This window comes from Homo sapiens, chromosome 7 (assembly GCF_000001405.40).
Source record: "Homo sapiens chromosome 7, GRCh38.p14 Primary Assembly".
Lineage (NCBI taxonomy): Eukaryota > Metazoa > Chordata > Mammalia > Primates > Hominidae > Homo > Homo sapiens.
Genome location: NC_000007.14, coordinates 107,562,384 through 107,578,888, shown reverse-complemented (window position 1 = coordinate 107,578,888; position 16,505 = coordinate 107,562,384). Strand labels below are relative to the sequence as shown.

The 16,505-nt window shown below is 38.0% G+C and overlaps 3 protein-coding genes across 23 annotated transcripts in view, besides 4 other annotated features; 1 reads left to right on the top strand and 2 right to left on the bottom strand.

The window, feature by feature from the left end:
* DUS4L-BCAP29 (DUS4L-BCAP29 readthrough) overlaps positions 1-14,918 on the bottom strand; it is a 59,347-nt gene extending 44,429 nt beyond the window's left edge. For 2 of the 7 annotated variants that reach the window (NM_001371364.2, NM_001371366.2), the window contains exons 1-7: positions 14,680-14,918; positions 14,213-14,301; positions 11,703-11,839; positions 7,623-7,744; positions 5,068-5,185; positions 3,579-3,701; positions 2,297-2,523 (exon numbers count right to left, since the gene is read on the bottom strand). In NM_001371364.2, the coding sequence (NP_001358293.1) occupies positions 2,297-2,523; positions 3,579-3,701; positions 5,068-5,185; positions 7,623-7,744; positions 11,703-11,818 (706 nt within the window). In that variant the 5' untranslated portion in view covers positions 11,819-11,839; positions 14,213-14,301; positions 14,680-14,918. Of the gene's footprint in view, positions 1-2,296; positions 2,524-3,578; positions 3,702-5,005; positions 5,186-7,622; positions 7,745-11,702; positions 11,840-14,212; positions 14,302-14,641 lie in introns of all 7 variants that reach the window. The other 5 variants (NR_163939.2, NM_001371365.2, NR_163940.2 and 2 more) reach the window with 5 other exon arrangements.
* Positions 366-14,918, bottom strand: DUS4L (dihydrouridine synthase 4 like). Of its 6 annotated transcripts, none has more exons than NR_073002.2 (8): positions 14,642-14,918; positions 14,213-14,301; positions 11,703-11,839; positions 7,623-7,744; positions 5,006-5,185; positions 3,579-3,701; positions 2,297-2,523; positions 366-1,576 (listed from the first exon to the last, which is right to left on the bottom strand). NR_073002.2 is itself a non-coding variant. In NM_181581.3 (8 exons), the coding sequence occupies exons 3-8, from the start codon at positions 11,816-11,818 to the stop codon at positions 1,329-1,331; spliced, it is 954 nt and encodes a 317-aa protein (NP_853559.1). In that variant the 5' UTR covers positions 11,819-11,839; positions 14,213-14,301; positions 14,680-14,918; the 3' UTR covers positions 366-1,328. The 6 variants fall into 6 exon arrangements, 2 of the variants coding, with proteins under 2 accessions (NP_853559.1, NP_001257348.1); NM_181581.3 differs by having other exon boundaries at positions 5,068-5,185; positions 14,680-14,918; NM_001270419.2 differs by having other exon boundaries at positions 5,068-5,185; positions 14,830-14,918.
* Positions 13,192-14,391: an enhancer, noted in NCBI's record as "P300/CBP strongly-dependent group 1 enhancer chr7:107204943-107206142 (GRCh37/hg19 assembly coordinates)". NCBI's record gives its function as "activates an origin of replication core promoter dependent on BRD2, BRD4, P300/CBP, MED14 and CDK7 cofactors, with strong dependence on P300/CBP, by STARR-seq in HCT116 cells {active_cell/tissue: HCT116}" and the evidence as "EXISTENCE:reporter gene assay evidence [ECO:0000049][PMID:35650434]".
* Positions 14,742-14,841: a silencer, noted in NCBI's record as "silent region_18539". NCBI's record gives its function as "represses an Ori minimal core promoter by ATAC-STARR-seq in GM12878 lymphoblastoid cells {active_cell/tissue: GM12878}" and the evidence as "EXISTENCE:reporter gene assay evidence [ECO:0000049][PMID:35858748]".
* Positions 14,880-15,090: a silencer, noted in NCBI's record as "fragment chr7:107204244-107204454 (GRCh37/hg19 assembly coordinates)". NCBI's record gives its function as "represses an EF-1alpha promoter that drives an FKBP-Casp9 reporter gene in an ReSE screen in HepG2 liver carcinoma cells {active_cell/tissue: HepG2}" and the evidence as "EXISTENCE:reporter gene assay evidence [ECO:0000049][PMID:32094911]".
* Positions 14,922-15,041: an enhancer, noted in NCBI's record as "active region_26492". NCBI's record gives its function as "activates an Ori minimal core promoter by ATAC-STARR-seq in GM12878 lymphoblastoid cells {active_cell/tissue: GM12878}" and the evidence as "EXISTENCE:reporter gene assay evidence [ECO:0000049][PMID:35858748]".
* COG5 (component of oligomeric golgi complex 5) overlaps positions 14,969-16,505 on the top strand; it is a 362,549-nt gene continuing 361,012 nt past the window's right edge. For all 10 annotated transcript variants that reach the window (NM_001379516.1, NM_001379515.1, NM_001379511.1 and 7 more), the window contains exon 1: positions 14,969-15,086. In NM_001379516.1, the coding sequence (NP_001366445.1) occupies positions 14,993-15,086 (94 nt within the window). In that variant the 5' untranslated portion in view covers positions 14,969-14,992. The remainder of the gene's footprint in view (positions 15,087-16,505) is intronic.

The following is a 16,505-nucleotide window of genomic DNA, read 5'->3' as shown; positions in this document are numbered from 1 at the left end:
GGGTTTCACCGTGTTATCCAGGATGGTCTTGATCTCCTGACCTCGTGATCTGCCCGTCTTGGCCTCCCAAAGTGCTGGGATCACAGGCGTGAGCCACCGCGCCCGGCCAGGAAGTTACTTTTAATCAAAAGTGTTAGAACTTCTTGCCCATCCACGCTGGTTCCTTCCAAACACCGAGCACATTACTCTAGTGATGATGCTGTGCTCACAACACTAGGGTAATTCAATTCAGAGTTCTGACCATACCTCCCTATTTTGTACAGTATTCATAGAAAATGAAACAGCGAGTTATCTTTAAAAAAAAAAATGCATTAACTGAAAAGTGAAAACAGAATGTACTGAGAAAAAAGATGGCACCACAGTGCTTATGTTAAAATGGATTCATTCAATATTCCCAAACGTGAATTAAACAGTTTTACATAATTGTTTCCTTATAACAGTTTTCATGTTGGCAAAACAAAATAATACTTTAATTATGAACGGTTTTATTTCAGTCTGAGATACTTAATTCTTGCAGTGCATGCCCACCGATAACAAAATCTATTAATAACACTCCAAAACCATGGGACTTTAAAGTTACAATCAACGGCTGAGAGGCACAAAAGTAATTAGGTTTTAAAGTTAAAAACAAAACCTGGTTACTATTCTCTAGGAAATATTTCAAATATATAATCATCTCCAGGTTGGACACCAAATTTCCTATACTTAAGATATGGTAGATTGCAATTAATTTTATCTTTTTAGGTAGGAGATTATTAAGCTTTCAATCTTTGGAGGACCTAGAAGTTTTGAAATGTACCAAATTTAATGTCATTAACCAAATGGAATTTTTAATATAAGTTCTGAGTGCAATTCTATTCAGAATTTCCTGTTCTTTTTCATTTTGGATGGATGTTGGTATTTGTTCCACCACTTTTTTGCACCTGCATACTTCTTGTTAATTTATAGATACTATAAGCCATAATTTCTTAGTATTAAATTTTATTTTAAAATGTTAAAAACATGATTAGGAAAAAATTCCCACTCTACCCATCCCCCCAATATCTATAGAACAGGATTCAGAGCAGTATTTGTCAATGTTTGCCTAGGATGATCAGGATGTTTGAACCACTGGGAGTTTTCTTTAAACTGTGTATTTCTGGGTCTACTCCAGATCTACCTAATCAGAATCTCTGAGGGTGGTGTCTACAACTGATTTTTAAAAAACGCTCCCAGGAATTGTTTTTATACTAAAATTTGAGAGCTACTGGTTTAAGGTACAAAATATGACCTTCTGTGGTTTCACTGTGGGTCTAAAAGTATATATTAAAATTATTTGGGAAGTCTAGTCAAATGCCATAATGGTCTGTAAGGTAATCTATGATTGCTGATGTGCTTGACAGAGCATTAAATACCCTTTTTTCCTGCCTTGAAGTTATCTTTTCCATCATGTACATTAAATGTTGATGGAAACACATGTAAGGAGTCCCGAGTTCAAGAGCAATGTCAACCCAGTCCCAGATGCATTTCAGTGGGGTTTCCTCATATCCAGCAAACATGGCCGGGTTTGCTAAGAGTCCTCTTGCAACCATCACACCTACAAATTAAAGCACACCATATTTGTCCATACATTAAGAACCCCTGGTTATTAGTTCAAGCTCAATGAAGCAAACAGTATATTTTTAAAAAGTATTATCACAAGGTTTTGTAATGTCTTTATTGCATTAATATGTTTAATCCGATTACAAAAGAATTAATTTTGGTACCTTTTGTAAACCAGGAAAGTTTAAATGTACGTACAGAAATCTTTATTTTTTAAAGATTTCTACATTAAACCATTAGTCTTTAGTTTTTCTTTAGGGTAAATCTGGATTGTCATAAATTGGGCTGCTTAAAGTTCAGTTTATCTATATTCTCCCATCTAGCAATTATAGGGCTTGGCATGCCAATAATTTAAGGGAATAATGAAACTGCATAGCAGTTCTGGGATTCCTTTAGCTCTTATCATTCTCGAGTTCACTTACTCTTATTTCTAGGTGCTTTATTTTACTAGTAGGCTATCTGGAAAATTCTTCACTGGTCACTAGATATGATGGTGTCAGAAAAGTAACTGAATTAATTTATCCCAGTTAAGATAATCCATGTTTTTCTAGGTAGAAAACTTAACATCATTTTAATAAATCGCTTAGCTTAAAACAGTACAATGGGAAAATATGGCTTAATGTTAAACAAAACAAATGAAAATCAAATTAACATTACTTCCCCACTCTCATTTCTTCCCCCCCCAATTAAAAGAACCCAAGTACTTATTTCTTACCATCTGTCCCAGTAATCCGCCACACATTTTCTGCTTCCTTTAAGCTTCTGATGTCTCCATTAGCAATTACAGGTATAGACATATTTTCCTTAATTATTTTAATGGAATCATAGTGCACTGGCTGATGTCTTTCTTCAGCAGTTCTTCCATGGACTGTAATCCATGAAACTCCTGTTGCTTCAGCCTTTTGACAAAGATCTACAGTTCTTTTAAGGTCATCATGGATCCTACAATTTCAAAATTACATTTATCTGTTCACAGCACACAAATCTTAATGCTAACATTAACTGACTAAAATGGTATTTCATCTACCAAATTAGTTAGCTTTGCTATATCATATTATTACTCTATGTCATTATCAGCAAGGTTTTCTTCAGGGAGCAGTTCCTACACAAGACCTCAAATTTAGCTATTTCACTATTGACAACAAAGGACAAAAAACAAGTTTTATCTTAGACCTAGTGCTTCTATGTTTTGGCTTTGATAAATGAAAGACCCATGAAAGTACTGTCACAGATGAATTTAAACCTTAATATTTGCTGTGCATGCCCCCATCCCCCAGTGGGAGAATATAATACTTTATCTTGAAATATGTTTTCAGGCTGGGCACCGTGGCTCACTCCTGTAATCCCAGCACATTGAGAGGCTGAGGCAGGTGGATCACTTGAGGCCAGGAGCTCAGGACTGGCCTGGCCAACGTGGCGAAACCTCGTTTCTACTAAAAAATACAAAAATTAGCGAGGTGTGGTGACACACACCTGTAATCCCAACTACTTGAGAGGCTGAGGCATGAGAATTGCTTGAACCTGGGAGGCAGGGGTTGCAGTGAGCCAAGATTGTGCCACTGCACTCCAGCCTGGGCAACAGAGTGAGACTCTGTCTCAAAAAAAGAAATATGTTTTCAACCTGTCACGGAAAAACTGATTCCTGGTTTATTTTCTTTTCATTGTGAAATTTTAGTGCAAATATTTTTCCTATTTTCTACACTTGGCACCAGTAATGTTTCTTAACATTAAATACTACATAGCTAAAGTTGAAAGTTTGGTGAAACTTAAAGGGAGGCTTTAACTTTTGTTAAAAGTACAAAGAGGAAGTTTTTCAGGACTATAAATGAAAATTATGGTATATATTCTTTTACTAAATGTCTTATTTTCAACATTTCCATACACCAGCTACCAATTTATTTAGGATAGATACTCCCAACAGCATCAGACAAAAGCAATAATCTTTCATTTCCTAAGTAATGGATTATCCTATCAATAGATTGAAATATTGTCTTTACCTTATTTTAATAGAAACTGAAAATCCAGGGGTTTCCACTTGATTTCTTACTTGTTTCACCATGTCTTGAACAAGCTCTGGCTTGTTTATTAAGCAAGCCCCATAACCTTCTGCCATTGCCCACCTTTGTAAAGCAAACACATGAACAAGTGAATTATAAATAACTGGAAGAGAAGACAAAATTCTGAAAGCACTGAAATGTAAGTGCATCCATTTCTCTAGTGATCTGGAAGAGAAGCAGATATAAAAAATTCATAGATTCAACATTTCTAAGTGGATCAATATGAGATTAGGAAAACATGTTCCCAGATCAAAAAGTACTCAGGAGAAATGGTTTTCATTGGCAAGTGAGAATATTAAGTTAAAAGTCATTCAACCAAAACAGGTTTAAATATTTGAAGTAATTGCAATGACTTCAGATTTTAAAAATTCCAAATTTGATGTTTATTGTGCATAACAAGAGGTTTTATTAGTCTCAATAGTAGAAAGATATTTTTGGCTTACAGCATTCCAATACCACTAAACAGCTAATTTAACCCTCCTAATGAGTATACAAATATGTCTAATCTGATTTCGATTACGCTATACTTAACAACTTTGCTTTTATTCTTTGGACACATTTTGAATTACTGATAATCTACTACAGTGCCAGTAAAGTAGAACTATTATTGTCAGGCTGGGCGCGGTGGCTCAGGCCTGTAATCCCAGCACTTTGGGAGGCCAAGGCGGGCGGATCACCTGAGGTTGGGAGTTTGCAACCAGCCTGACCAACATAGAGAAACCCCGTCTCTACTAAAAATACAAAATTAGCCTGGCGTGGTGGTGCATGGCTGTAATCCCAGCTACTCAGGAGGCTGAGGCAGGAGAATCGCTTGAACCTGGGAGGCGGTAGTTGTGGTGAGCCGAGACCACACCACTGCACTCCAACCCGGGAAACTCTTGTCTCAAAAAAAAAAAAAAAAAAAGAAATATTATTGTCAAATTAAGTACACCCTATCAACACCCAGTTATTTAAACCCAAACAAGTAACTGTGGTATAGAAAGAAAAAGTGATTATAATAAGGTATTTTTATAAGGGGAATTAATTAGGAGGAAATATGTGGTGATTTCCTAAGTCAAACAATCTGTTTTCAGAGCAAGTATATCTGACATGACAGTAAAAATACATTTTAGGGATTGCCGTAAACATTAGATTCTCATATAACTACTTAGGGATGAGATTCAAGGCACAGCCACATAAAAATTCTATTGGTGAGGGGAGACAAAACACCTGTCAAAGGTCTATACATCATTTCAGTCATCAGAAAAGACCTTTGAATTTATGTTTCTAAATTACATTTCCCTATATTTTCTTCCTTCTTGTTTTGAGCCCTGGGACTGTAACTCTATTTTCTTTTTAATTTTTGGAAAACTAGAAAGATATTTTACCATGTTCACACAGTTTTTTTTCTACTCTTTTGGAAAATTCTTCCAACTTCTTTGAGCTTTACCTCTGAGGGCAACCACAGTTAATGTCTATTCCATTCGCATAAGGACAGACTATACGAGCAGCATCAGATAAAAGTCTTGCATCGTTAGCAGCAAACTGAACAATCAATGGGCAATCACCTGACAAAATGAATAGCTCAACATTAAAATTCACAGGAAAAAACCCCATGCACACACACACCAAACTTTAATGTTTGTACAGGATAAAATAGCAATAACGATTTTTTAGCCTAAGAAGCATCTGTCCAAATAATATAACATTAAACAATTTAAAATATTTAAAATTAAAAGCAATTTACACGGTAAAAAATTCAAACAGTACAAAATTTGATAAATGAAAACAATTCTAATACTTTTGACAAAATAGACCCTCTTCTCAAAGGTGAGAATTAGTTTACTGCATTCCAGAACAATTTTTTTGTATACCTGTAAAATTTAAACAAGTGTGAACAATCTATATATACCACTGTGCCTAGTGTTCCTTTCTTTCCTCATGTATCTGGGAGATGTACTCAGACCTATTTTCTTCTTTATAGTGGGATATTCCGCTGTACGGATGGACCATATAGTGTATTTTTAGACTGTTTCACATGCTCTGAGTATATTCATAGGGTAAATTCTTAGGAGAATTGTTAATAGGCATTTAACATACAACACTGTGATAGATATTACAGAATTATCTTTCAAGAGTTTACCAATATAGACATATACCAATATGGATAAAAGTTCTTGTTTCCTCACAACTTATCATACAGTGTATATCCAACATTTGAATATTCTAATTTGTGAGCTCTCTTCATATTCTTTGCATTTTTCTGTATATAATTTTTCCATTAGTTGTTCTTTTTATTTGTAATTTTTTTAATAAAACAAAGAAATTAGTATTGCTATCTATCATGTGTTATAAATATTCTCCTCAGTTTTTTGTCTTTGAGTATATTTGTGCTCTTACATATAAATGTTTAATTTTTTTTTTTTTTTGAGACAGAGTCTGTCACCCAGGCTGGAGTGCAGTGGCACAATCTCAGCTCACTGCAACCTCTGCGTCCCAGGTTCAAGTGATTCTCCGGCTCAGTCTCCCAAGTAGCTAGGATTACAGGCACCTGCCACCATGGCCAGCCAATTTTTGCATTTTTAGTAGAGATAGGGTTTCACCATGTTGGTCAGGCTGGTCTCAAACTCCTGACCTCAGGTGATCCACCCACCTTGGCCTCCCAAAGCGCTAAGATTACAGGCATGAGCCACCGCCTCTGGCCCAAAGTTTTAATTTTAATACAGCCGAATGTATTAAAGCTTCCTAGGTTTTAAAGAACATATTTTTCGTATCCTTGGGTCAGTGTTATAAACTCTGTTTAGATGTATTTCAACATTTCTTTTGAGGAATACTTGTATGAGATTCACTGGGTGTTTATGAAAATGCAGATTTGTGGGCATCATCCTAGTTGCACTGATTCAAGATTCCTATGGCAATCTACTGATTTACAGGATTATGATGGTTTAGGAGAATTTGCTTTATTCTTTATGGAGATGTAAGGTGCTTTCCCTTTTGTAACTCAAGAGAGTTACAGAATTTCAATTTAACAACCATTTATTGGTCTAATATATTTCCAACACTGTACTAGATGCTGAGGATACAAATCAAGCTATTTCTAAAGCTACAGCCCTCAAGGAGGCCGAACCTAATGGGAGAAACAGGCATATAAAGAGGAAATCATAATGCAGTAGAATTAAGTGATTAAGTGCAACATAAGAGCCTGTGCTTAGCAGGGAGGACATGAGTAGAGGATGATCAAAAAAAAAAAAAAAGATTCATGGCTACAAATATTGAGAGCTGAATGACGAAACATAAACTACAGTTTGCAAGAGAGAGAGGGGGTCTGGTGTGAGAAGACAGTGTATGTTCAAGGACTTAAAATAACTTAGGAATTTTGAAGGATAAAGTCAGTGGGGTGTGGGGAGAAACTGAAGGAAGATAAGGCTGCAGAAGATGTATTCAGAGGTCAGATTATGAAAAACTGTGTATTATCTTTAGGTGCTGAAATTTTAGTCTTTAAGCCAGTAGTTCTCAACCTTTAACAAGCTCAGAATTACCTGGAGAGCTTTTAAAACACAGATTGCTGGACCACATATGTGGAATTTCTGATTTAGTACACCTGTAAATCTCCATTTCTAACAAGTTTCCAGATAATACTGATGCTGCTGGTCTGGGGATCACACTTTGAGAACAATGAGAGAAAAATTTACATGTTCAATAGGTCACTTTGGTCTCCTTGGAGGATAGTTTGGAATGGTACAAGACTAGAGGCAGTGTGACAGGAATCTACTCTAGTAGCCCTAGTGAGAGGAGAGGGTTTCAAAGTGACCTTACACTTTGGTATATACACTGATAGTTTGCAAGGCATTCAGTAATAACATGTAAAAAATACTTATTAAAAACACTAAAGAACTAAAGCTTCTTCACATAAAATCTCTAAATTGTGTTGTTTCTGATAAGATAGTTGAGTTTGTAAACAAATTTAAAAAGTTTTACAAAGTCAGTACACTCGGTTTCACATACCTTGATTTGTGGTAAATTCGCTGTCTCTGGCTTTTATAGATTTGACAAAATCAGCGGCAACAATCATTGGTGTGTAACACAGATCACAACTATATTTTCTTACTAGTGTCCTAAAAGCCAACCTGTGAGCATATAAAACCTTAATTATGCATTTAGAAACACCACAAACATATTTTAGTGCATTGTTAAATATTTATCAGAGAAAGTTCTACCTATGGGGAGATGGAGGAGATTTACTTTTCCCTATTATTCCTGTTAAGTATTACTAAAAACCTTGGATATTATATATAAAACAAACACAAGAAAATTTTGAAAGGTGAAGAAAAGATGTCCAGATAGGCTAGTGACCTCAGGACCTGAGGAATGACAGGGTGGTGAGTTCTCTGGGTTTTATTTTTGTCTCAAATATCCTAGACTTGAAGAAGCTGGCCACCTGGAAACAACAATGGATGCAGACAAAACCAGCCCCAACAAAAGCCTTCTCTAACCAAAGGACCAGGAAAATGTTCTGTCTGACCTAGTAAGACAGAAAACTTTTAGACAGTTCTACTCCAGCCAAATACTGTAGAAAAAGCTATGGCTTTATCTCCATTAGCAAAGGCCAAGTGGGAATCCTAGACTTCTACCCTCCAAAGGCTGTAACAAGGTGCTCCAACATTCTATTGATACCAAGGCCAGGTAAGGATCTGAAACTTTCATCTCTGGTGGCCACTGAGGTCACTCCCAGCCCAGTGGTATCAGTGGAGGCCACAAGGGGAGCCTGGACTTCCATGCCTGCCAGCAGTAATGAAGCACTCTTCTCCCTCCCTGCTTGGTGTGGTGTCAGAGGAGGCATAGTGGAGAGCCAGGACTTTCATTATTGCCCAGCACATATGAGGCTACCCTCACTATGGGGAACTGGAACTCTCATCACTGCCCCGCAGTAATGAGGAGCTCCTCACCCACCAGATGTCGAAGGAGGCCAAGTGGAGAACTTGGATTTCTATCAGATAGCAATGAGGTGGCACCACTCCCCTACATCATTCCCTGCTGGAGTGTTGTCAGAAAAAGCCGGTTAAAACAGAAGGTGCAATAGTCAAAATCAATTAATGTAATCCATCATATTAACAGGCTAAATAATAAAAATCACATGATCATATAGATGCAGAAAAGGCATTTGACAAAATACACTCATACATAGTTAAAAAAAAAAAAAGCTAACTCTTGGAAAACCAGAAGTAGAGGGAACCTGCCTCAGTTTGATAAAGTATATCCACAAAATTCCTACAGAACACTTTTGCCTTAGGAACAAGGTAAGGAAGTCTGCTCTTATCACCCTTATTCAACACGGCGCTGAAACTTCTAGTCAGTGCAATAAGGCATGATAAAGAAACAAAAGGCATATGATCAAAAGGAAGAAATCCAACTGTCCTTATTTGTAGATGACATGGTTGTTCATATAGACTCTGAAGGAATTTACAAAAAAACTAGAACCAACAAGTGAGTTTAGCAAGTTTTCAGGATATAAGATCAACATACAAAAATCTATTTCTATGTGCTAGCAATAAACATGTGAACACCAAAAATTAAAAATTCTATTTACAAACATGCTCAAAACCTGGGTGTCTTACAAAACATGTGCAGAACTTGTATGCTGAAAACTACACAATACTGATGATAGAAATCAAAGAAAATCTCAATCAATGGAAAGATATACTGTGTTCATGGATTGGGAGACTCAACCTAGTAAGAAAGTCAGTTCTTCCCAAGTTGAGGTATAGGTTTCACACAGTTCTTATGAAAATTCCAGCAGGGTTTTTTGCAGAGATAGACAAGGTCATTCTAAAATTTATTTGTAAAGCAAGGGAACTAGAATAGCTAAAACAATTTTGAAAAAGTAAATAAATTGGGAAGAACCAGTCTACCTGATTTCAAGACATATTATAGAGCTATATAGTAAAACTGTGTGGTATTGGTGGGGAAAAAGATACAAGATCAATGGAACAAAACAGAAAATGCTGATTTCTCACAAAGAAGCAAAGAATTAGCGGAGAGATAGCCTTTCTTTTTTTATTATTATTTTTGAGACGGAGTTTTACTCTTGTTGCCCAGGCTGGAGTGCAGTGGTGCGATCTTGGCTCACTGCAACCTTCACCTCCCAGGTTCAAGCGATTTTCCTGCCTCAGCCTCCCAGCAGCTGGGACTATTGGCATGCGCCACCACGCTGACTAATTTTTGTATTTTTAGTAGAGATGGGGTTTCACCATGTTGGCCAGGCTGGTCTCGAACTCCTGACCTCAAATGATCTGCCCACCTCGGCCTCCCAAAGTGCTGGGATTAGGATTTGATGGCGTGAGCCACTGTGCCTGGCTGATAGCCTTTCAAAAATGATGCTGGAGTAATTGGACATCCATAGGCAACCTAACCTAAGCCTCACACTTACATAAAAGTTAATGCAAAATTGATCATGGACTTAAATGCAAAACATAAAACTATAAAACTTTTAGGGAAAAAAACTTAGGAGAAAATATTCAGGATCTGGAGCTACATAAAGGTTTCTTATACTTGACATCGAAAGCACAATTTACAAAAGGAAAAATTGATGTTAGACTTCATTAAAATGAAACTTTTGTTCTGCAAAAGATCCTGTTAGGAGCATGAAAGACAAGCCATATACAGGGAGAAAATACGTGCAAATCACACATCTGACAAAGCAGAATATATATCTAGAGTATAATAGAAAACAAGAAAACAAACAAATGGACAAAAGCACTTGAATAGATACTTCTACAAAGACAACATACAAATGGCCAATAAACACACAAAAAGATGTTCAGCATCATTAATCATTAGGGAAATGCAAATTAAAACTGCAATGAGATACCACTTCACACCCATTAGGATGATTATAATAATAAAATAAAAACTCCCAGAACATAACAAGTGTTGATGAGGATGTGGAGAAATTAAAACTCTTGTTCACTGCTGGTGGTAAGGTAACATGGTGCAGCTGCTATGGAAAGCAGTACAGTAGTTGCTCAAAAAATTAAACATAGAATCACCATATGATCCAGCAATTCTACATCTGGGTACATAGTCAAAAAGAATTGAAAGCAGGGTCTCAGAGACCTGTTACGAACCATGGGTATTTGTATATGGGTATTTGTACACCCATAGTTCATGACAGTATTATTTGCAGTAGCCAAAAGGTGGAAGTTATCTTGTGTTCTATCAATATATGAATGGATATCAACAGATGAATGAACAAAATATACATAAAATGGAATATTATTCAGCCTTAAAAAGGAACAAGTCTGATATATGCTACAACATGAATGAACCTTGAGGATGTTATGCTGCATAAAATATTAGCAAAATAAATCCAGTTCTGAACAAATACGTATAAGACTTATATGAGGTACCTAGAGTAGTGAAGTTCATAGAGGGAGAAAGTAGAATAATGGTTGCCAGGGGCTGCTGTGAGGAACAGTGGAATGGGGAGTCACAGTTTAATGTGATAGAATTTCCATCTTCTAAGATGAAAAGAGTTTTAGAGATCAGATGCACAACAATGTGAATGTAATTAACACTGCTGAACTGTATACTTAAAAATGATCGAGAGGTAAATTTTATGTTACGTATATTTTATAACAAACTTCTAAAAAAACTCAATAGTAAAAGAGCAAACAATCCAATTAGAAGATGAGCAAAAGATACGAAGAAATATTTCTTCGAAAACTGAACACACAACTACCTTAGGACCCATAATTGCACTCCTATTTGTCCCAAGACTTAAGTTCACATAAAAATCTATACATCAATACTTATATCTATTTAATATCCATTATATACTTATAGGTAGGAGTTACAACCACCACCATTTTTATAGATATAAAAAGTGCAGCTCAGAGAAGTTAATTGTTTACTCAGGATCACATATATACTAGGCAAGTAGTAGCATCATGACTCAATTCTAAGTCATGATTCCAAAGCTAAGAGTTTGAAGTTCCCATATGGTGGGTGGTCTTACAGTACTTTTAAAAAGTCAGAGCATAAAAGGGAAATTTCATCTTAGTTCATTAATCATTTTGCAACACTTACTTTGAATATCGAACCATTGGGGCACAGACTTTTACCAGCTGTCCAGAATGAAACATTTCTATGGGATCTTTTTTTCTTTCCTGACATATTGTCGTTTGCATGCAGTCACTCTTCATTAATACAGATATGTTTCAAATCTGAAAAAGACAATAAGCTTGTATAGAGAAAATATGTTTTCACTATATTAATTCCATTCTAACAATTTCAACTGCCAACAACATATATTTTTTATCAGGCTTGTGGGCTCAGAAATTTTTTTATTAATAGCTTATTTTCACAGTATCCAATATGATACTATAGAATGCTGCCTCTATTTGTAAGATAAATAGATGTGGAAAACTACCCAAGATAGTTGTGGAAACACAAGATGCAGAAAACGAGATTTTTTTTTTTTCCCTAGTTTACCATGTTGTAAGTTTTCATGTTATTTAAAAATTTTTTACATGTTACTTTGTTGGGATTGGTAAGCCAAGAAATTTGGTTTGAATTATTTTATATATGATACTCGACTGGCATTTGGAAATATCTTGTTTTATTCAGGAAAGTTAAATGGCATTAATAGAGCAACTCTTAAGTAGTCAGTGTTTCAAAAGATATGCTGGTGCTTTTATTGTAATTCTTGAATCCTGTTCTGTCTGTGAATCAGAAGATAAACAAACGTTAATTATTTTTAAAAATTTTAATGTGATATTATCTAGTGAAAATTTCAATTATAATTCTACAATTGCATTGTAAATCACTTTTATACCCCAAGAGGTACAGGTACGAGTGATGAAATTATGGAGTTTGTAAATGTTTTACATTTGCTATACTTAAAATCCTACTATTTCACAGTGTTGGCTACTTTTCATATTCCAGTCCTTGGCCTCAGTAACTTAGAAACAGGTATGTATGAAGGAAAAATGAAGCAGAAAATAACAACAACAAAAAAAAGAATCAGATATGGGCCAACTTTAGAATGGTCTAATTGCTCAAACTTTAGAGTCTTTAACCTTTAGGCAAGGAGTTGAAATTAAAAATAGCCAAGGTACTTAAGGATGTCAGGATCTTGCAAGAAACCGCTGGAAGCACCAATATTTAAGTAACAGAGGAAAAGGGGAGAGCAAAAGAGACTGAAGATGAACTTTGGAGCTGGGAGGAATAAACCTAAAGAGTGATACTCAGAAAACGAGAGAGACCATTATGAAGGAAGGAGGGGATAGGTATCTTAAACATCAAAGTAAGGCAAAAATAAAGCGCAATGGCAACAAGGTCATTAGTGATTTTAGCAAGAATTACTTCATTTTTATCCACTCCTGCAGTCATAGTAAATGGCATACAGAAGGCCTCAATATTTATTTGCTGAAAGAATAAATCAGTAGGTTTCAGGGGACTGGGCTCACACCTGTAAACTCAGCATTTTGGGAGGCCAAGGTGGGAGGCTTGCTTAAGGCCAGGAGTTTGAGACCAGCTTGGGCAATATAGTGAGACCCCCATCTCTAAAAAAATTATAAAAATCAGCTGGGCGTGGTAGCAAGCGACTGTGATCCCAACTACTCCAGAAGCTTGGGCAGGAGGATCCCTTGAGCCCAGGAGGTTGAGGCTGCAGTGAGCCACGATCCTGCCACTGCACTCCAGCCTGGGTAACAGAGCTAGACCCCAACTCAACAAAACAAAACAATCAGTAGCTTTCTACCTTAGTTGTACACTACAATGACCCGAGGAGCTTTTAAGAATTAGCATGCCCAAGCCATACCCTAGACCAATTAAATCCAAACGTCTGGGCTCAGGATGCAGGCATCAGTGTTTTTATTAAAGCTCTTCAGGTGATTTCAATGTGCAGCTAAGCTTGGAATTACTGGAATAAGTAAATCCAAAGATTCCAAAGCACCTGGTACAATTGTTTGTTTAAATGGGTTCCTACCTTACCTATTAACTCCTTTTAGAATATGGATTGAGTCTTATGTTTGTAAACTCATGAGAGCATGCAGAGTAGAGGGGTCAAAACTTTCGCTGTATGAATGAATATTACTCACTCTTCTAAAATCTTCCACTGGGGGGAATAAAGCCAAGGAAGGAAAAACAATTCCTAATTCACAAGTAATGAATGAATCACCCCTATTCCCATCATGACTAAGATCTTACATACTAGGGAAAATCCTCTGAGACAAAGAGAGCATAATGCAGTGTAGCATAAGACTTGCTTACCTGAGGTGTTATGAGTATGAAATGCATTGAGTTATAAAATACTTAGAACAGCGATAAGCACAGGATAAGTAATAGCACCTTTTTGAAACAGAATGTAGAAAACCACGTAGCTCTGGAACTGGATAAAATTGGTTTCCTGGATACATACCTACTGTACAAAATGAAAAAGTCATCTTCCAGCTTCTTTTTGCGAAGAAGCTTAAGACTGTCTTGCATACTTGTGGTTGCCTGACCCTGTTAATTTATCAGTATTTATCTTAGAAGAAAGAAATCTAGGTCAAAAACGCGAACGTATTAGTAAAGAAGATACAATGGGAACCAACCTGATGCTCTTACAGCGTCAATACTGTTAGTTGAGATGTGGACCATCTATCAGTTTGTAATTAAGAAAAAGTCTGGCACGTGACTGAAACTGAGGAAGAAGTAGAAAAGGCAAAAGGTCAAAGGTCTCATGGGAAGGAAGGAGGGTAGAGACAGTGAGTTTTATTGGTCCTTTTATGGTTCAGACTTCCTTCTTCATCGACTCTCCCTAATTCTCTTCACTGTTCATCCCCAGCAACTTTTCTTCCCAAGCATTTCCTGCGGGCTTTTATTACCCCAGGAGTGCCAATCAAGGCGTGGAACAGATAAAGCTGTGTAGCAACTAACGCGTGACTCTTGTGAGTGTGGAGGGCAAACGAAGCTCCCTGAAACCTCCGCTCTGCTCTCCTGCCTTACGCCGCGCGGCCCCTGTTCTGAGGTTTAATACTTGCTTCACAGATAAGCGCTGCGGCCACGTTCCGGTGCCCACCTTCTCCTTGGCTAGGGCACGACGCCAGCCCAGGGGGCGCGGCCCTGAGCTGCTGCGAGAGACAGCTGAAAGCGCCGGCCCGACGGCCTTGGCTCCCTCGGTGCGCTGGGCGCAGAGCACTCGGACCCTGGGCGCCCACTGCTCGAGTACCTGCGCGGCTCCTAGCCAGGCTTAGCCCAGGCGCGGGCTGAGAGTCAGTTCGCCAGGTGGGCCTGGAGCCATGGGCTGGGTGGGCGGGCGGCGCCGGGATTCTGCGTCACCACCTGGGCGGAGCCGTTCTGCTGCTGACGACATCAACCCGGCACCTGCCAACATGGAAGGTGGCGGCGGCAGCGTCGCTGTAGCTGGCCTCGGAGCTCGAGGCTCTGGAGCGGCTGCAGCTACAGTCCGGGAACTTCTGCAGGACGGTAAGGAGACGGGGTCTGACCAGGTCGTGGGGTTGGGGGTCTGCGCTGCTCCGCACCTGGACAGCGAGGTGGACCCAACCCGTTGCTTTGCAGAAAGTTTTCCAGTCTGGACGTGACCACTCCCCTCCGCCCGGCCCCCTGGCTTGGGTACTGTTCTAGCCAACCTATTTACTCTGGGACTGGCTCCCTCTTTTCTGGAGTCTTGGGGACACTTGGTTTCTGTGTGTTCCTCATTTCAACTCGACCCCCCCCCCCCCCATGCCTCCAGCTTCCCTGAAGTTTCGGGAGCCCAAACCCTGTGGACCGCGTTGGCAGCCACCGGCTGCTGCCGCAGTTCTTGACGAAGGGGTGTAGCGTTCGAGCTCTTCAAAAGTGTAAGCTCTAGAACAGACGGCAGACGCATAATGAAATAGGGCCTTGTTTTAAAGTAGAGCTGGAAACGCTTACTCCTTTAACAAATGGACTGTACAGGTGACCCCTCTTACAGGCTGGTTTTTTTTTTCCTCCTTTATGAGGCAGTTATCTACAGTGACACGTGGGGGAGGGTTTGAGACATTTGTTCAGGTTGGGATTAACCATTTGTACAGAATCTAGCAGTCAGATTTTATTGCTAGTCAGTTTGGAGAGAAGTTGCCCAAAATAAGAAAAGTTAGATATAATATACTTGAAAAGCATATTCAGTTGTGTCAATCCAGTTACCATGTCCCGAATCTCTTATCCTTCAGAATAAAGTTCACATTTATAAGCATAAAAATAAAGCCCTTCTCACCTGTTCTTAATTTTTTCTCTAGTGGCCATCGCATTCTACCTTGTACTAAAATCATTTGTATACTTGTTTTAATCTCTTCTGTATTGCAAACTTTTTTTAATATCCCACAGTGTGAATAGCAGTATCTTGCATACAGTAGGTGCAGAATGTTTTTTAAATTCATCATCGCAGTTAGAAGCACATGCACACATTTGAAGACCGAAGTGGGTAATAAATGAAATAAAGTTCCAAATTATTGTTTATTTTCTCTGACTGTTAAATATTTTATTGTCATCCTGAATTACGTGCCTTTTCATGATAATTTATGTACTTTTGTCAAAAGCAATGATGTTTTCTGAACTATTTCATGTTGGAAACTCTAGGACCGGGTCTCTGTCTAAAACTTGGCTAAACTGAATTTAAACTTTAGATACAAGGCAGAGACCCTGATATATTTGCAGTTGCTCCTGATACACGTGCAATTTTTGCCCTCAAGTAGTTCACCATCTAGTAGAGGAAATAATCTTGTAGACTATAAAGGTAGGTGCTGTAATATAGTGATGTAAGATAGCAGTAGGATTGCATATAAAGTAGAGCATTAATACAGAGGAGAATGATAACTGGGGGTTGGAAACTGGTTAGGAAATGTCAGAAAAGGCTTTCTAGGTGGA

Excerpts from the sequence above, each read along its gene's own strand:
- DUS4L (NM_181581.3), bottom strand. The coding sequence starts at position 11,818 with ATGAAGAGTGACTGCATGCAAACGACAATATGTCAGGAAAGAAAAAAA. Across the intron at positions 7,745-11,702 it reads CCAATGGTTCGATATTCAAA|GTTGGCTTTTAGGACACTAG; the intron begins GTAAGTGTTGCA and ends ATATGCTCACAG. Across the intron at positions 1,577-2,296 it reads GCGGATTACTGGGACAGATG|GTGTGATGGTTGCAAGAGGA; the intron begins GTAAGAAATAAG and ends TTTAATTTGTAG.